The sequence below is a fragment of the Homo sapiens genome, chromosome 16 (genome assembly GCF_000001405.40).
Source record: "Homo sapiens chromosome 16, GRCh38.p14 Primary Assembly".
NCBI lineage: Eukaryota > Metazoa > Chordata > Mammalia > Primates > Hominidae > Homo > Homo sapiens.
The window spans coordinates 28,715,663-28,735,388 of NC_000016.10; the positions used below are offsets into that span (position 1 = coordinate 28,715,663).

General features: G+C 46.8%; 1 protein-coding gene and 1 non-coding gene across 10 annotated transcripts in view, besides 1 other annotated feature; both read left to right on the forward strand.

The window, feature by feature from the left end:
• EIF3C (eukaryotic translation initiation factor 3 subunit C) overlaps positions 1-19,726 on the forward strand; it is a 47,173-nt gene that overhangs the window by 27,105 nt on the left and 342 nt on the right. For 7 of the 9 annotated variants that reach the window (XM_047434828.1, XM_047434827.1, NM_001199142.1 and 4 more), the window contains 12 exons: positions 7,502-7,661; positions 7,786-7,889; positions 8,660-8,801; positions 8,996-9,121; positions 9,257-9,350; positions 10,943-11,133; positions 11,359-11,583; positions 16,167-16,530; positions 18,858-19,017; positions 19,116-19,181; positions 19,270-19,357; positions 19,511-19,673. In XM_047434828.1, the coding sequence (XP_047290784.1) occupies positions 7,502-7,661; positions 7,786-7,889; positions 8,660-8,801; positions 8,996-9,121; positions 9,257-9,350; positions 10,943-11,133; positions 11,359-11,583; positions 16,167-16,530; positions 18,858-19,017; positions 19,116-19,181; positions 19,270-19,357; positions 19,511-19,673 (1,883 nt within the window). The other 2 variants (XM_047434829.1, XM_017023814.3) reach the window with 2 other exon arrangements.
• Positions 8,590-8,659, forward strand: MIR6862-2 (microRNA 6862-2). Its single transcript, NR_107058.1, has one exon. It is a non-coding gene; the product is annotated as a microRNA 6862-2 (primary transcript).
• Positions 15,808-16,360: an enhancer, noted in NCBI's record as "H3K27ac-H3K4me1 hESC enhancer chr16:28742791-28743343 (GRCh37/hg19 assembly coordinates)". NCBI's record gives its function as "activates a minimal SCP1, AML or CMV promoter by ChIP-STARR-seq in primed H9 embryonic stem cells {active_cell/tissue: H9 hESC(primed)}" and the evidence as "EXISTENCE:reporter gene assay evidence [ECO:0000049][PMID:30033119]".

Genomic DNA, 19,726 nt, shown 5'->3' on the forward strand with positions numbered 1-19,726 from the left:
CTTACTCACTGCGTGTGGATTGGGTGCAAATCTCACTTTGGCACCCGATACCTGTGTGACATTGGACAAACTACTTAGCCTGTCTAATCTTCAGTTTTCTCATCTGTAAAATAAGGCAGGGAACCCTCCCTTCCAGAATAGCTGCAGGAATACAGGGAGGTGTGATGTAAGAAAGTAGTTCATCTAGGACTGACGTGTGGTGAGCCCTCAGTGTGCGTTGCTACTGTGTTACCCTTCCTGATAACTTCTTAGTACACATACAGCATACAGACTGCCGCAAGTGTTCATGACCTTTACTGGGACAGTCAGAATAGGGGAGGATCCCAGTGTGGATTCTGTCTCCCAGCCTTTATCAGCTGTACAACATTGTATAAGTTACTTGACCTTAAGTCTTAGTTTCTCCCTTTGAAGTAAAAGTGATACCTGCTCTTTTGTATCCCATGGGAGTGAAATCTCAAGCTCACTAAAAATAGTGCTTTTATTTATTTTTTCTTAGCCAGTTTGCACAAACTACAGATAAAAAGTGCTTTTTTTGAGACAGGGTCTCACTCTTCCCAGGCTGGAGTGTAGTGATGCAATCTTGGCTCACTGCAACCACAACCTCTTGGGCTCAGGTGATCTTCCCACCTCAGGCTCCTGGGTAGCTGGGACTACAGGTACACTCCAGTACATCCGGCTAATTCTTGTGTTTTTAATACAGACAAGATTTCACCATGTTACCCATGCTGATCTTGAACTCCTGGGCTTAAGCGATCCTCCCGCCTCAGCCTCCCAAAGTGCTGGGGTTATAGGCGTGAGCCACTGCACCCAGACAAATAGTACCCTTTTAATGGGAAGATTATTGCTCTCAAGGTTGCTTTCCTGTGTTTAAAAGTTGTGGTCGTGCTGCTTTAGGGAGGTAGTGAGTTTCCAGCCCTCTAGAGGTCTAGAGAGGCTGAACAACTTACTTGGTGGGCATTTTGTTGAGAAGGCCTTTTTTGTCCAGTGCTTCAGGGAACACTGGTCAAGGTCTGGGCCACATTGTCTATCACACCCCTTCTTGGAGGGTTTACAACCACCTCTGGAAAGTTCCATGAGAATAAATATACCTAACTTTGTTTTATTAACCATCTCAAAAACTTGCTTGATCATGAAACTCGTTTTTTTAACCTGTTGACATCTTACAGAACTATCAGCGTTACTATTGGTTCAGGTCTTTTATATCTACTGTACTTTGTGTTTTTGTCTTTGAATAATTGTGTATTGAAGTCTCCCATTGTGTGGACTCCGGTGTGTGATGTGCACTGCACATGTGTGTTACACAAAGGCTCCTGTCTGAGGGAGCAAATGGGGCCTAAAATTAAACTTAAGACATCAAGGCTGGGCACGGTGGCTTACGCCTGTAATCCCAGCACTTTGGGAGGCCGAGGCGGGCAGATCACGAAGTCAGGAGATCGAGACCATCCTGGCTAACACAGTGAAACCCAGTCTCTACTAAAAATACAAAAAATTAGCCAGACATGGTGGCAGGCGCCTGTAGTCCCAGCTACTCGGAAAGCTGAGGCAGGAGAATCGCTTGAACTGGGAGGCAGAGGTTGCAGTGAGCCGAGATCGTGCCACTGCACTCCAGTCTGGGCGACAGAGCAAGACTCTGTCTCAGAAAACGAAACAAAACAAAAAAAACTCTAAGACTATAAAGCTATACTTTTATAAATACAGACTCAAAAGTTCTTAACAACATAGTAGAAAACCAAACACAGCAACATACAATAAGGATTATATGGGAGCACCCCCTCCTTGCCTGTAGGGGGATGGAGGATGGGTGGGCTCATCTCCCAAAAAAGTTTTAAAAAAAAATTTAATAACAAGGAGGATTTATCCCAATAATAGAAGGATGTTTTAATATGAAAATCAACTAATATACTATATCAATAGAATAACAGACAAAAGCCGTAGAGTCATCTCAGCAGATGCAAAAAAAAGCATTTGAAAAAAATCCTAATATTCTTTCATGATAAAAGACTGAAGCTAGGAATAGAAGGGAGCTTCCCTCTACCTGATAAAGGATGTTTATGAAAAGGACGTTTCCTGTCCTTTTATTTTTAACTCTGCCATGCTGTATGATTAAGAGTGTTTCTTGGCTGGGCGTGGTGGCTCACGCCTGTAATCCCAGCACTTTGGGAGGCGGAGGCAGGCAAATCACAAGGTCAGGAGTTCGAGACCAGCCTGGCCAACATGGCGAAACCCCATCTCTACTAAAAATACAAAAAAATTAGCCCGGTGTGGTGGCCTGCGCCTGTAGTCCCAGCTACTCATGAGGCTAAGGCAGGAGAATTGCTTGAACCCGGGAGGCGGAGGTTGCAGTGTGCCGAGATCGCGCCATTGCACTTCAGCTTTGGGCAACAGAGCAAGACTCCGTCTCAGGAAAAAAAAAAAAAAAAAAAAAAAAGAGTGTCTCTTAAGCACAGCTAGGTTTTTGGTTTGTTTTTTTTTTAATCTCATAAAATCTCTGCTTTTTTTTTCTTTTATTGTGATACATAACATTTCCCATTTTAACCATTTTCAGGTATACAAATCAGTGGCATTTAGTACGTTCACATTGTGCAATGACCGCCAGAACTTGATCTCTGCTTCTCTGGCAATTTAGTTCATTTACGTTTATTATAGTTATTTACATATATATGATGGTTATTTATATATGTGTCTACATAATTAGTTTTTATCAAGATGGGGTCTTGCCCTGTTGCCCAGGATGGTCTCGAACTCCTGGGCTCGAGTAACCCTTCTGCCTGGGCCTCCTAAAGTGCTGGGATTACAGGCGTGAGCCACTGCGCCCAGCCTATTGTGGTTATCAATGCATTTATTCTTACCATTTTATGGTATCTTATACTTTCTGTTTATCCTCTTTATTTTAAATTTTGTAATAGCTTTATTGAGGTGTACATGACATACAATAACTGCACTTGTTTAAAGTTTTTTTTTTTTTTTTTTTTTTTTGAGACAGAGTCTTGCACTGTCGCCCAGGCTGGAGTGCAGTGGCGCAATCTCGGCTCACTGCAAGCTCCACCTCCCGGGTTCACACCATTCTCCTGCCTCAGCCTCCTGAGTAGCTGGGACTACAGCCACCCGCCACCACGCCTGGCTAATTTTTTGTACTTTTAGTAGAGACAGGGTTTCACCATGTTAGCCAGGATGGTCTCGATCTCCTGACCTCGTGATCCACCCGCCTCGGCCTTCCACTAAGTGCTGGGATTACAGGCATGAGCCACCGCACCCAGCCTTAAAGTTAAATTTAATAAGTTGTGACATATGTTTACACCCATAGAACTCACCACAATCAAAACATAATATCCTAAAAATTTCACACCTAAACATTTCCACCTTCCCCTTTGTAATACTTCTCCCTGCCTCAGTTTCCTCACCCTATCCCTGGGCAACCACTAATTTGCTTTCTGTCACTAGGTAAGTTAGCATTTTCTAGAATTTTATGTAAATGGAATCAACGGTATATAATTTGGAGGGGGTAGTTTCTTTAATCATAATTATTTTGAAATTCATTCTGTCTTCTAAAGATTGGGCATCTCTAATTCCAAAGTCTGAAACTTCTGGAGCACCATAAGTGGACAATTCCACATCTGACCTCATGTGACAGGTTGCAGTCAAAACTTTGTTTCATGCACAAAATTATTTAAAATACTATGTAAAATTGCCATCAGGCTGTTTGTATAAGGTGTAGATGAAACACACAAATTTCATAGTTAGACTTGGAGCCCTTCCCAAGATACCCCATTATATATATGCAATTATTTGAAATTTGAAACACTTCTGGTTCTAAGCATTTCAGATAAGGGATATTCAGCCTGTATTTTATTTTTCTTTTATTTGTGTGTTTTTTGTTTTTGTTTTTGAGAAGGAGTCTCACTGTGTTGCCCCGGCTGGAATGCAGCGGTGCAATCCTGGCCCACTGCAACCTCTGCCTCCTGGGTTCAAGTGATTCTCAGGCCTCAGCCTCCTGGGTAGCTGGGACTACACGTGAGCACCACCACGCCCAGCTAATTTTTATATTTTTAGTAGAGATGAGGTTTCAGCATGTTGGCCAGGCTGGTCTTGAACTCCTGACCTTAGATGATTCGCTCGCCTCAGCCTCCCAGAGTACTGGGATTACAGGCATGAGCCACCACACCTAGCCTACATGTATTTTCTCATCCTCTTTTTTTTTTCCCCGTTTCTAGTTATATATATTTTCTTATTATTCATTTTGTTTTTTTCTGCTGGTTTGGGAGTTAGACGTGCTATGCTTTTAGAGGTTATTCTTGAATTTTTTTTTTTTTTTTTTTGAGACACTAGCCTGTTGCCGAGGCTAGAATGCAGTGAGTGGCGCAATCTCGGCTCACTGCAAGCTCCGCCTCCCGGGTTCACGCCATTCTCCTGCCTCAGCCTCCTGAGTAGCTGGGACTACAGGCACCTGCCACCATGCCCAGCTAAATTTTTTTGTATTTTTAGTAGAGACGGGGTTTCACTGTGTTAGCCAGGATGGTCTCGATCTCCTGACCTCGTGATCTGCCCACCTCAGCCTCCCAAAGTGCTGGAATTACAGGCGTGAACCACCGCACCCAGCCAAATTTTTTTTTGTTAACCTGTAAACTAACTTGTATACCTAATCAGAATAGTCTAAAATTAGTTGAATCAATGTTCTGAGGAAAACCCTTGAGAAAATAAAGTTAGAATTTCAAGTGTCAGAATCTTTTTGACATTGAGAGTTTGTGGCTTTGTAGTGTAGAAGAATAATTCACAGACACTATTTCACTTGTGTAACAAGGGAGACAGATTTTCAGATTAATTTCCAACCGAGCAAAAGCAGGATTTATATAGGAGAAAGAGGAACAAGGAGAGAGGGCAAAACCACAGAACAGTGGATTCTGTTTGCCCGTTTTTCTGTGTAAACTCTGATATTAACTCTCCTTGAGTATGCCACCCAGGGTTGGTGGATGCTCTAGAAAACACGATAGGCCCTCTGCCAGTAAGGGTTTTCAGCAACTCCAGATTCAGCCAGTCTAAATATACCCTTTCCATCATCAGCATTTCTCAGCCTTCATCTTTTGGTCAAAACAAGCTTGTAAAGGAGTGGGTTTATTCTCATGAGCTTCAGCCTCTTTGATGTGGGATAAGGCCATCTGTTGTCTTATGGTGATCTGAAGGTATTAGGGGGAAGTTCATCTATACCTGATGTCATGATTGACCTGTGAACTCTTTTTCTTTTTTTCTTTTTTTAGATGGAGTCTTGCTCTGTTGCCCAGGCTGGAGTGCAGTGGTGCAATCTCATCTCACTGCAACCTCCGCCTCCCTGGTTCAAGCAGTTCTCCTCAGCCTCCCAAGTAGCTGGGATTACAGGCACGTGCCACCACGCCTGGCTAATTTTTTGTATTTTTAGTAGAGACGGGGTTTCGCCGTGTTAGCCAGGATGGTCTCGATCTCCTTATCTCTTGATTGCCTGCCTCGGCTTCCCAAAGTGCTGGGATTACAGGCGTGAGCCACTGCGCCCAGCGACCTGTGAACTCTTACAGAGCTGCTGTCTACTTCTAAGAGTTACCTGATTCTGGAGGCGTTTTTTTGTTTTTGTTTTTGTTTTTTAAGTGAACCCCAGGATCTCTAGTGAGACTGAATGTCCGAGTTAGGATCCTAAGCAAGGGTATACATCTAGGGCTTTCCATCAGTAGTTGTGGTTGGGAAGGCATGGGAAAATGGTGTGGTCCTCTGCAGTGTAGTTAGGCCTGACTTCCGTTGGTGTCTCTCAATAATGAGTTTTTAGTCTCTTAACTATGTATTAAGTAGAGGTAATACTCGTTTAGAAATGTTGCTTTTATCTGTTGATTATATAGCTGAGGATATAAACATTTGTTATCTGATAATTTCTAACAAGATATGAATATACCAGAGTATAATCTGTCATAGGAGAGGTCAAGCCAAGTCTTAGGTCTTTCAGTTAGAATTTCATACAATAGTACATTTCCCTTTTGAGGTGTGTATCATACTATCTTTAGTGCTAGAAGTAATACTTTAGCCAAGGAAGTTTAAGTTCTTTTGAAGCATTCATTTTAAAAAATAGCTTTAGTTCTTCTGATCTCAGAGCTATACAGATGGTTTGGACCAAGAGGTTTTAGTTTAATGAACATGCTTTGCATATTTGCAAAGGATTTTACCTATAAAGTGAGTCATCATTAGAGTCTTGCAGTGGTACAGGGGAAAGATCCATAAGCTTTTGTTGTTGTTGTTGTTGTTGTTGTTGTTGTTTTTAATAGAGACGGGCTTTTTACCTTGTCACCCAGACTGGTCTCAAACTCCTGGGCTCAAGCAATACGCCCACCTCGGCCTCCCAAAGTGCTGGGATTACAGGCTTGAGCCACCGTGCTTGGCCAGTCCATACACTTTTGTTGAGAGTTATGGCATTGGTCTTCTGGCAAGGGAAGACTTAATTTAACTGGTAAACTTATAGACTATTCCAAAAACATATTCAAACCTTTTAAGCAGTGAAAATGAAATTTATTTATAAATGTTCAAATGGTAGATTATGGTTATTACATATGAGTTTTCAAAAATGTTGAGTCTTTCTGGAAAGATTTATTCTTCAGTATCTGTGCAAAGTTTGAAGTAATTTGTCTTTGCCATTTGGTTTGTATTTTGTTACATAAATACATACTCAAGTCTGGAGATGGTTTCAGGCAACATCCAGTAGCCTAAGACCATTTTAAGGTAGCTGGTGATCTTTTTCTGTTTTGTGGGGACCTTTTTTGTAATGAACATTTTTTTTAAATTCAGAATTTAGATTAATCGGTTGTCAAGAGAGGAGAGAAAGCGATAAAACAGTTTAGGAATAGTAAAAAAGAAAAAAATGTTTTTATATATTTGGGGGAACTGATTCATTGATTAGTTGGTCAGTCTGGAGAAAGCAGCTGGTATCAAAGAAAATAAGTTGTTTGTGGATTCTTTGGAAAACTGTAGATGTTAGCTTTGGAGCAAAATGACAGGTTGGTTTTTTTTTGTTTTGTTTTGTTTTGTTTTTTTGGAGACTGAGTCTTGCTCTGTCACCCCGGCTTAAGTGCAGTGGCATGATTGTGGCTCACTGCAGCCTTCTCTGCCTCCCAAGTTCAAGTGATTCTCGTGCCTCAGCCTCCTAAGTAGCTGGGACTACAGGCGTGCACCACCATGCCTGGCTAATTTTTGTACTTTTAGTAGAGATGGGGTTCCACCATGTTGCCCAGGCTGGTCTTGGATTCCTGACGTCAAGTGATCTACCATGCTTAGCTGACAGGTTGTTTCTATTAATATGTCTACAGTGGCCTGGTTAGTACTCTGTCTTGTTAGAGATGGCTATGGTTATGGTTCACTGTGCCCTCTAGGTCATTGTTGTAGAGCATAACTTGGACCCAGGAGCTGCTGGAGGAAAAGAGGAAGTTGATGGGAGGAAGAAGCCTTAGAGGTGGGGAGGGGCTGATCTGTCATCTTCTCCCATGTCTGTCGGCAGGGCACCCACCACAGATGAGGACAAGAAGGCAGCCGAGAAGAAACGGGAGGACAAAGCTAAGAAGAAGCACGACAGGAAATCCAAGCGCCTGGATGAGGAGGAGGAGGACAATGAAGGCGGGGAGTGGGAAAGGGTCCGGGGCGGAGTGCCGTTGGTTAAGGTGAGGGTTTCAGAGGTAAAATGAATTGGGGAACAGTTTGGGAGGACATAAAGGTCCCCTTGTGGGGAAAAGGCAAGGACAGTTTCCCGCTGGCATGTACATGACGGGATATGTGCTGATACAGGAGAAGCCAAAAATGTTTGCCAAGGGAACTGAGATCACCCATGCTGTTGTTATCAAGAAACTGAATGAGATCCTACAGGCACGAGGCAAGAAGGGAACTGATCGGTAAGATTCGTGGGCCTGGGCAGTGGGATTGCAGGGTGGCAGAGGGTGGAGGTTGGGGGAAGGGATTGTTGGGAGGGTCTGTGTGTGGCTGTAGTAGAGGGAATTGTATGCTTGGGGCATCCCCGTCCATTATCTGCTGTTTACTCTTCTTGTGACTTAAAACCAATCACTTAACGTTTTGGATCTGTTTTCCCATCTATACAATGAGATAATGTTCTCCTCTTTTTTTTTTTTTTTTTTTTTTTGTTTGAGATGGAGTCTCGTTGTTGCCCAGGCTGGAGTGCACTGGCGCGATCTCGGCTCACTGCAACCTTTTTGCCTTCTGGGTTCAACCGATTCTCCTGCCTCAGCCTCCTGAGTAGCTGGGATTACAGGAACCCGCCACCATCCCTGGCTGATTTTGTACTTTTAGTAGAGATGGGGTTTCACCATGTCTCGAACTCCTGACTTCAAGTGATCCGCCTGCCTCAGCCTCCCAAAGTGCTGGGATTACAGGCATGAGCTACCACACCTGGCTTTTTTTTTTTTTAAGATTAAAAAAGTAAAAGAGTGTTTACCTTCTTTAGTTATTAGGTAACAGAGGATGGTGGTAGGTGTGAAGCATTTCACAGCATTCCAGGATGGTTGGGATTATTGTTGCTTCTGTTTGGAATTTATAAAGGAGAAGCAGGGATATGGGTGATGAGGAGGGCGCGTTATCCGAAGCGGGCATGCTGGGAGAGACTTTGTGATTTGTCTCCAAAGCCTCACCCAGCTCTCTGGCCCTCTAGTGCTGCCCAGATTGAGCTGCTGCAACTGCTGGTTCAGATTGCAGCGGAAAACAACCTGGGAGAGGGCGTCATTGTCAAGATCAAGTTCAATATCATCGCCTCTCTCTATGACTACAACCCCAACCTGGCAACCTACATGAAGGTGAGAGCAGTGAAGAGGCTCATCTCAGGGCATCGCTGGTGGGTTGGGGGAAGAAGGTACCTAGCATCTTAAGACTCAGGGGCTATGGAGGCAGTCTTGGTGGTGGAAGGCCCCATGATTCCTGCTGAAGGGGGAGGCATCCGCTTACTCTACCTTCACACCTCTGACTCTGATGTGGCCTGAAATCTTGGCAGCCAGAGATGTGGGGGAAGTGCCTGGACTGCATCAATGAGCTGATGGATATCCTGTTTGCAAATCCCAACATTTTTGTTGGAGAGAATATTCTGGAAGAGAGTGAGAACCTGCACAACGCTGACCAGGTAAAGGGAGGAGTTGGCAGGATAACTGGAGGTGTGTATTTTATGCTTTGGGAAGGCTCAGTGGGACCCGAGGGTTGAGGTTTGAGACTGAGATCTGGGCTAATTTGTTGACTCCTCCTTCGCCTTCCTTTTCAGCCACTGCGTGTCCGTGGCTGCATCCTAACTCTGGTGGAACGAATGGATGAAGAATTTACCAAAATAATGCAAAATACTGACCCTCACTCCCAAGGTGAGCCTGAGCAAGCGTGGGCTTTGCTGAGAGGAAAATTGTGGGGAATATTACTAGGTTTAGAGCTTTGTGAGGATTATACTAAGTCAGAGTGCTTGAAAAGCCAGCCTTTCAACTTACCTAGCGTTCACACGGAAGGGCCTGATGAGATGCTGGCTCCCAGTCCCATCGTTTCTGATTCCATAGGTCTGAGTGGGGCTTGAGAACCTGCACCTCTAGCCTGCTCCCAGGTTGCTGGTCTCAGGGCTATACTTTGAGAACCTTTGGGGTAAGGCATCTATTCACTTCTCTTGTTTAGCTTGGATGAGAGGCATTGGGGTGTGAAAGTGCAGCATAGTTTACTCAGTAAAAGTGTGAATGTGCCCATCAAGTCAAGGGTGTAGTGATTAACAAGGCAGCCAAAAGCTTACCTTTTGTGCTGGATGGAGAAAGGCAGATTGAAAAATAATAGTAGTAAGATATGGCCGGGCGTGGTGGCTCACGTCTGTAATTCCAGCTCTTTGGGAGGCCGAAGCAGGCGGATCCCGAGGTCAGGAGATTGAGACCATCCTGGCTAACACGGTGAAACCCCATCTCTACTAAAAATACACACACACACACAAAAAAAATTAGGCGTGGTGCTGGGCGCCTATAGTCCCAGCTACTTGGGAGGCTGAGGCAGGAGAATGGCATGAACCCAGGAGGCGGAACTTGCAGTGAGCCGAGATCACACCCCTGCACTCCAGCCTGGGCGACAGAGCAAGACTCCATCTCAAAAAAAAAAAAAAATAGTATGATGTTAAGATAATTCTGGGCCAGGTGCAGTGGCTCACGCCTGTAATCCTAGCACTTTGGGAGGCCGAGGTGTGTGAATCACCTGAGGTCAGGAGTTTGAGACCAGCCTGGCCAACGTGGCAAAACCCTGGCTCTACTCAAATACAAAAATTAGCCAGGCATGGTGGCAGGTGCCTGTAAATCCCAGCTATGTGGGAGGCTGAGGCAGGAGAATCCCTTGAGCCCAGCGGGCCAGAGGTTGCAATGAGCTGAGATCACACCACTGCACTCCAGCCTGGGCGAAAGAGTGAAACTCCATCTCAAAAAATAATAATAATAATTCTAGATGATATAAAGTTCAGAGTTAAACTAGGGCCCTGTGGTAAGAAGTGGCTGGAGGGGTGGCTGCTGTAGCTAACAGCTGGAGAAAGCACCCTTAAGTAGGGACCACCTGAGGTGAGATCCAATGAGGAGGAGTTAGGGGAAGAATCAGCTGAAGACAGCGCCTGACAGGAGGAGCAGAGAGCGAGCTTGATGTTCCAGGAGTAAAAAGGCCAGTGGGACTCCAGCACAGGAAGCCAGAGGGAGAATCGTGGGAGACCAGGCAAGGGCCAGGCCTGGCAGACCCTTATTGGCAGAGGTTGGCAGTTGGGATTTTTTTCCTAAGCTGTGGGACTGGAAGGTTCTGGGTCCTGGGAGTGGGAGATGGCCTTTCTGGGGCACACTGACTAGACTTTTCTGACGGGTGCAGAAGAGGGACGGGTTGATTGGAATGAGTGGGGACAGATGGGAAAGCCTGGCTGCCCAGCTGAGACAAGGGTGGGTGCTCTCCCTGCCAGAGTACGTGGAGCACTTGAAGGATGAGGCCCAGGTGTGTGCCATCATCGAGCGTGTGCAGCGCTACCTGGAGGAGAAGGGCACTACCGAGGAGGTCTGCCGCATCTACCTGCTGCGCATCCTGCACACCTACTACAAGTTTGATTACAAGGCCCATCAGCGACAGCTGACCCCGCCTGAGGGCTCCTCAAAGGTGAGCACGTGGCAGTCATGGCAGAGGGGAATGGGTGTGTCCACCTGTCCTCCACTTCTGTCAGGACTTGACAGCAAATCTGTTACTCTCTAGACTTCCGCAGGTGGAGCAGGGAGGGAAACTGAGGTATTAGAATGAGACTGGATAGAGTCTCATCTTTAGTTGCTAGAGCCTGTGCCTTTTAAAGCTGGATCTCCTTTGCAAATAACCTCCCTTCCTCCCCAGTCTGAGCAAGACCAGGCAGAAAATGAGGGCGAGGACTCGGCTGTGTTGATGGAGAGACTGTGCAAGTACATCTACGCCAAGGACCGCACAGACCGGATCCGCACATGTGCCATCCTCTGCCACATCTACCACCATGCTCTGCACTCGCGCTGGTACCAGGCCCGCGACCTCATGCTCATGAGCCACTTGCAGGACAACATTCAGCATGCAGACCCGCCAGTGCAGGTAGGATGGGGAGGCCTTGGAGGTGAAGGAGTGCCAGGCCCCTGGCCTCTTGGCAAACTGGCTTAACCAGAACAGCCACCTGTCTGGCCGGTGCAAATTTAAGTAGACACTTGGTCTTTCCCAGTTGCCAGCATCCTGCAGTCCTCCTGCATGTAAACACATAATTTCGTGTCAAAAAAAAAAATTATCCAGGCTTGGTAGTGCTTGAGCCCAAGAGGCAGAGGTTCCAGTGAGCCGAGGTTGTGCCACTGCACTCCAGCCTGGGTAATGGAGCAAGACTGTTCAAAAAAAAAAAAAAGCTGTGTCTGGAAGTGTAGATCATGTAAAAGTATATTTGAGGCAACTAGGAAATGTTTATGTGTAGAGCACCTGGTGAACCTGTCTGGGGGTACTGCTGGTTTTTAAACAGCCCTCCTATTTGTGTTTCTATTCTATGGTATGAACATATCACTGTGTCTGTTTTCCTCTTGGCGGACACCCAGTTTATTTCCAGTTTTTGGCTCTAATGTATGAAGCTGCTGTGAACATTCTTGTAAGAAACTCAAAAGTGGTTATACCATTTTACACTCCTGTTAGTGTTTGGGAGTTCCTTGTCAACTTTTGGTGGTGTTGGTCTTTTTTTGAGAGGGAGTCTCGCTCTGTCGCCAAGGCTGGAGTGCAGTGGTGCAATCTTGGCTTACTGCAACTGCCACCTCCCAGGATCAAGCGATTCTACCTCAGCCTCCCGAGTAGCTGGGATTACAGGTGCCCGCCACCACTTCCGACTAATTTTTGTAATTTAGTAGAGATAGGGTTTCACCATGTTGGCCAGGCTGGTCTCAAACTCCTGACCTCAAGTGATCTGCCTGCCTCAGCCTCCCAAAGTGCTGAGATTACAGGAGTGAGCCATCATGCCGGCGGTGGTATTGGTCTTTTAAACTTTTTTTTGTTTTTGTTTTTTGAGGCAGGGTCTTGCACTGTCACCTAGACTGAGTGTAGTGGCATGATCATGGCCCGCAGTAGCCTCAAATTCCCAGGTTCAAGTGATCCTCCCACCTCAGCCTCCATAGTAGCTGGGACTACAGGCATGTGCCACCATAGCTGGGACTACAGGCATGTGCCACCATGCCTGGCTAATTTTTTATTTTTTGTAGAGACAGGGTCTCACTATGTTGCCCAGGCTGGTCTCAAAGATCTTTTAGGGGTGTGTGTGTGTCTCTTTTAGGGGGTGTGTGTGTATCTTTTAGGGGTTGTGTGTGTATCTTTTAGGGGGTGTGTGTGTGTGTATCTTTTAGGGGTGTGTGTGTGTGTGTGTGTGTGTGTGTTTTGAGACAGAGTCTCGCTCTGTTGCCCAGGCTGGAGTGCAGTGGTGCAATCTTGGCTCACTACAACCTCCATCTCCCAGGTTCAAGCCATTCTCCTCCCTCACCATCCCATGTAGCTGGGATTATAGGCACGTGCCACCACACCAGGCTAATTTTTGTATATTTAATAGAGACAAGATTTCACTATGTTGGCCAGGCTGGTCTTGAACCTCAGGTGACCCACCCACCTCAGCCTCCCAAAGTGCTGGGATTACAGGCATGAGCCACCGCAACCGGCCACTCAAAGGTCTTTTAAATTTTAGTTGGTTGTCTAATGGTATCTCATTGTGGTGTTAGTTTGCATTTCCCTGGTGACTATTGATATTGGCTACTTTTTTACTTTTTTATGTTTATTGGCCATTTATCTTTCATGAAATAATAAATATCTAGTCAGTTCTTGCCCATTTAAAACAATTGGATTGTTCACTTTATTGAGTTGTAGGAGTGCCTTATCTATCCTGGATAGCTAGTCCTGTGTCAGAATTTTTTTTTTTTTTTTTTTTTTGGAGACGGAGTCTCGCTCTGTCGGCAGGCTGGAGTGCAGTGGCGCGATCTTGACGACTCACTACAACCTCTGCTTCCCAGGTTCAGGCAATTCTCCTGCCTCAGCCTCCCGAGTAGCTGGGACTACAGGCGCCCACCACCATGCCCAGCTAATTTTTTTTATTTTTTAGTATCTGTGTTGGCCAGGATGGTCTCGATCTCTTGACCTCATGATCCGCCCGCCTCACCCTCCCAAAGTGCAGGGATTACAGGCATGAGCCACTGCGCCCGGCCCAGTTTTTTCTTTTATAGTAATTATTTTCTGGATCCTGTCTAAAAAACCTTTGCCTAACTGAAATTCATGAAGACTTTTTAAATTTCTCTCTTTTTTTTTTTTGTAAGTTGCTATGGGTGTTAGCTTTTACATTTAGTCTTATAGTTGGTCTTGGTTTGATTTTTGCATCTGCTGAGGTTGGGATCAGGGTTTCTTTTTCCTCCATATGGATACCTAGTTGTTCTAGCATCATTTGTAGAAAAGACTTCCTTTCCCCTATTGTATTGCTTTGGTGTCTTTGTGGAAAACAATATGAAAAACCACATTACCTATAAGAGTAGGTGTTTTTCAGGTCATTCCCTCTGTCCCATTCATTTACCTTTTTGTCTGTCCTTATGCAAGTCCCATACTATCTTCATTGCTGTGCAACATAACAAAACCCTGTCTCTACAAAAAATACAGAAACTAGTCAGGCATAGTGGTGCACGCCTGTAGTCCCACCTACTCAGGAGGCTGAGGTAGGAGGATTGCTTGAGCTCAGGAGGTCGAGGCTGCAGGAGCCACGATCACGCCACTGCACTCTAGCCTGGGCAACAGAGCAAGACTGTCTCAAAAAGAAAAGAAATACCCGGTTACTTCTCCTTCATTCTATTCATATAATGAATAACTATGAGTTCATTATTGTGTGTTTTTTGTTTTTTGAAAAAGGGTGTCACTCTGTCACCCAAGCTGGAGTGCAGTGGCGCGATCTCGGCTCACTGCAATCTCTGCCTCCCAGGCTCAAGCAATTCTCCTGCCTCAGCCTCTCGAGTAGCTGGGATTACAGGTGCACATCACCACTACCCGGCTAACTTTTGTATTTTTAGTAGAGACGGGGTTTCACCATATTGGGCAGGCTGCTCTTGAACTCCTGACCCCACGATCCACCCACCTCAGCCTCCCAAAGTGCTGGGATTACAGGCATGAGCCACCACGCCCAGCCGAGTTCATTACATTTTTATACCAACCTTTTATTCCTGAAGTATATCCAGTTTGGTCATGTATATTGTCTCTTTTATATTATATATTGCTGGATTCTGTCGCTAACATTTTTAAGGCTTTTTGCATGTAAGCTTATGACTGGTATTGATCTCCACATTTTTGTTGTTATGACTACACTTAGCCTTTTCCCCCAAGATTTGTACCACTTACCGTCTCCCCTGTCTTAATTAGTGCCAAGTCCCTCTTCCCAGTTGCTTAGACCAGAAACCTTGGAGTCATTCTTGATTTGAACTTTTCCCTCATATACTGTATCTGATTCCCCAGCCATTCCTGTTTACAGTCCATTATGAGAACACTTCTGTCACTTCTGCTTGTACCCTCTGCTCTAAGCCACCATCATCTGCCTTTGTGTCCCTTCAGTCCCTTTGTTCTGTTCATAATACAGATTAACCCTGTTCAGTTATGTCAGATCATATTACCTGTTTGCTCAAAACCTTCCCATGGTTTCTTGTCTTAAAACTCATAACAAGGCCAGGCACGGTGGCTCACACTTGTAATCCCAGCACTTCGGGAGGCCGAGGCGGGTGGATCACGAGGTCAAGAGATCGAGACCATCCTGGCTAACACGGCGAAACCCTGTCTCTACTAAAAATACAAAAAATTAGCCGGGCGTGGTGGCGGGCGCCTGTAGTCCCAGCTACTCGGAGAGGCTGAGGCAGGAGAATGGCGTGATCCCGGGAGGCGGAGCTTACAATGAGCCAATATCACACCGCTGCACTCCAGCCTGGGTGACAGAGTGAGACTCCGTCTCCAAAAAAAAAAAAAAAAAAAAAACTCATAAATGGCTGGTGCTCGCCCATCCCCCAGCTTGTGGTGGCATCTTTTCCCAGCCCTAGCTGTGTTGCGCCCCTTGTTTCTTGAATATGCCTGGCCCGGTTCTTCCACAGGATCACTGCGTTTATTTTTCCTTTTTATAGGATATTCTTTCCCCAGATGCCTGCATGACTTGCTCTCTCTTTAGGTCTTTATTCAAACATTCTTTCCCAATGAGGCCTTCTGTAGTTATATGAACATTTGAGCCTCCACCACTGCGCAGACTGCCTTCCTGGCTCCGTCCTCTGCTTTATTTTTCTTCTCAGCATGAGTCACCATCCTTGTAGTGCAGCTCTCTTGCCCACCACACCCCACCCCTAGACATAAGCTCCATGCAGACTGGGGACTTGTCTGTTTTGCTCTCCCTCCCCAGCCTAGTGCTCAGCACATAGTAGGCACTTGAAGTAGATTTGTTTAGTTTTGTTTTTGTTTTTTATCTTTAGCGATGGGGTATCTCCATGTTGCTCAGGCCCATCTTGAACCCCTGGGCTCAAGTGATCCTCCCACCTTAGCCTCCCAAAGTGCTGGGATTACAGGCGTGAGCCACTGCACCCGGCTTAGTTATGGAATAAATGAAGACTTGTCTTGCAGCTGTCATCTCTGAGTGCATTATGACCCTTTGCCCCCAGATCCTTTACAACCGCACCATGGTGCAGCTGGGCATCTGTGCCTTCCGCCAAGGCCTGACCAAGGACGCACACAACGCCCTGCTGGACATCCAGTCGAGTGGCCGAGCCAAGGAGCTTCTGGGCCAGGGCCTGCTGCTGCGCAGCCTGCAGGAGCGCAACCAGGAGCAGGAGAAGGTGGAGCGGCGCCGTCAGGTCCCCTTCCACCTGCACATCAACCTGGAGCTGCTGGAGTGTGTCTACCTGGTGTCTGCCATGCTCCTGGAGATCCCCTACATGGCCGCCCATGAGAGCGATGCCCGCCGACGCATGATCAGCAAGCAGTTCCACCACCAGCTGCGCGTGGGCGAGCGACAGCCCCTGCTGGGTGAGTGTGGAGCTCCAGGGTTCAGCAGGCTGCCTTGCTCCCTGATTACACATAAGGATTAAGAGAAGTGAAGGGAGTAACTCTCCCACCACTCGACTCCATCTGATTTAATGACACCTCCTCTGCCTGGCACTGTGCTAAGTGTTTTACAAATAATTATTTAATCTGCATTAGTAATAACCCTATGCCGGTAGGTACTAGTAATACCCTTTTTCCCAGTGGAGAAACTGAGGCACAGAGTAGTTAAGTGACTTGCCCGAGTTTAATGCAGCTCATGTGTACCTCTGATCTTTCTTTCCCTTTTCTTCCCTTCATGTACATTATATTCCAGCCAAACCAACTATCATAGAGCCTTATCGTTCAAGAGGCTAACGTTGATTCCTTTGGCCCCTTTTGAAAGACAGATCCTGCAGGGTTGCAGTGAGTGGTGACTCACTGGAAAGGAATTGAGCTGCGCCCTTCCTGTGACATTGGCCCACAGGAGGGCTTGACGAGTGAGCTGAGCCCAGTGTCCACAGCCACATCCCCCTACAGATTTGTCCTCTCCTGGTCATGTATATGTTTGGGCTAAAGGGCAAGTTCCCTTAGGCACATTTTGTTTGGCTTATGTAGTGAGATTTACTTTGTGGGGAAATTTCCCATGAAAATCGGAATTTTCATGTCTTAGAATATTGGCAGTCTGTCGCTCCTGGCCCTGCCTTCCTGCAGAGCTAGCCTTGGCTGGAGCTGAAGTAGCAGCGATGGGAAAGGGCTGTCTGCTTCTCCACAGTCCCTGCCTCTCAATTTCTCCCTACAGTGGTTCCAAAAGCCAGTTTCCATCAGCCCTGCACTGTTGTTCGGCCTATAGAGAAATATTCTTTGAGCCCCTAAACTTGCCTTTTTCTTTCTTTCTTTCTTTTTTTTTTTTTTTTGAGACGGAGCCTCACTGTTGCCCAGACTGGAGTGCAGTGGCGCAGTCTCAGCTCACTGCAACCTCCACCTCCTGGGTTCAAGTGATTCTGCTGCCTCAGCCTCTCGAGTAGCTGAGACTACAGGCCCCCGCCACCATGTCCAGCTAATTTTTTGTATTTTTAGTAGAGATGGGGTTTCTTCATGTTGGCCAGGCTGGTCTCGAATTCCTGACCTCAGGTGGCCCGCCCACCTCGGCTTCCCAAAGTGCTGGGATTACAGGTGTGAGCCACTGCGCCCAGACCAACCTTGCCTTTTGCAAGTGTTAATATGGTTAAAATGGAGGTTCATCCAGGAGGGCTGTGTGCCTCTCCTTACACTCTTAACACTTAGCCCTGCTCCTATGGTTCCATTTGGACCTGATCCCCGTTCGCATTGAGCTTGCCGTTCTTGCTGTGGAGTCTGCGTGTTTGTGTTTCACTGTCTGCCACCCATTTCTAGCCGTAGAACTTTTGCACTTTGTCTACCCTGAATTCCAGTTACTATGGCGTACCATGTCTTACCTTCCTGGCTTGTCTTAGGATTGTATTTGGGGGCCTGAGTTCATAATTAATATATAAACTTGTGATTTTAGAGATAATTTTGACCGGGGCTAAGTTTTTTAAGGAAAAGAAGTGAGCTGCTTGGAAGAATAATAAGCTGGCAACAGTGTAATTGATGCATGGGCATGGCACCATTCATGAAGGTGATGTGAGTGAGGAAGGGTTGGTAAATTCCATTCCAGTTGAGCTGGAAGAGGTGGTTTTGTTTTGTTTTGTTTTGTTTTTTGAGACAGAGTCTCGCTCTGTAGCCCAGGCTGGAGTGCAGTGGCAAGATCTCAGCTCACTGCAAATTCTGCCTCCCGGGTTCAAGCAATTTTCCTGCCTCAGCCTCCCGAGTAGTTGGGATTACAGGCGTGTGCCACTATGCCTGGCTAATTTTTGTATTTTTAGTAGAGACGAGGTTTTGCCATGCTGGCCAGGCTGGTCTCCAACTCCTGACCTCAGATGATCCGTCTGCCTTGGCCTCCCAAAGTGCTGGGATTATTACAGGTGTGAGCCACCACGCCTGGCTGGAAGAGGTGTTTTTAGGTCAAGGAAGCTTACGAGAATCTGATGAAAGCCATGGGCCTTTTTCCTAGGAAGAATGTACATGAGGACATGTGCACAATTTGTCAACATTTTTGAGGGTTTCGGCAGTCCCCTGAAGTGCATCTATGGACTGATTGAGTTCAAACATTTGTGCAGATGGAGTGGCTTGGGCGACTACGTGGCTGTTTGGTGGAGAGGCGGGGAGAGTCTCTAGTATGGTTTGCTCCTCCAGCCTCTGTTCCTCCTTAAAGAGTGCTAATGGAACTTGTCCCAAGTTCCCTAGGCCCTGCCTCATTCCCACCCTTTCAGGTCCCCCTGAGTCCATGCGGGAACATGTGGTCGCTGCCTCCAAGGCCATGAAGATGGGTGACTGGAAGACCTGTCACAGTTTTATCATCAATGAGAAGATGAATGGGAAAGTGTGGGACCTTTTCCCCGAGGCTGACAAAGTCCGCACCATGCTGGTTAGGTGAGCAGACAGAGAGGCCGTGATGGGTCGGGGAAGAAGAGACTGGTTGGTCCCCTTCCCTGAGGCCCTGTTGTGTCTTCTGTCCCCTCTTCCCACAGGAAGATCCAGGAAGAGTCACTGAGGACCTACCTCTTCACCTACAGCAGTGTCTATGACTCCATCAGGTAGGCGGGGCCCTGGGGACACAGAAGGGCCCCAGCCTTGTGGGCAAGTGTCCTGACTGCCCCTGCCCTCTGCCTTCTTTCTTCCCAGCATGGAGACGCTGTCAGACATGTTTGAGCTGGATCTGCCCACTGTGCACTCCATCATCAGCAAAATGATCATTAATGAGGAGCTGATGGTAGGGGCCGGGGTGGGAAGCGGGCAGGTGGAGCCATGGAGGGATTGGAGCGTAGGGGCCGGGGTGGGAAGCGGGCAGGTGGAGCCATGGAGGGATTGGAGCAGAGGGGCCTGATCTGTGTCGTGTCCCCTCCTCTGCCTTGGCGCCTGTCAGGCCTCCCTGGACCAGCCAACACAGACAGTGGTGATGCACCGCACTGAGCCCACTGCCCAGCAGAACCTGGCTCTGCAGCTGGCCGAGAAGCTGGGCAGCCTGGTGGAGAACAACGAACGGGTGTTTGACCACAAGCAGGGCACCTACGGGGGCTACTTCCGAGGTGAGTACTTCGGCTCCTCTCCTTGCCCACTCCTGGTGCCCTCACCGCCTCTC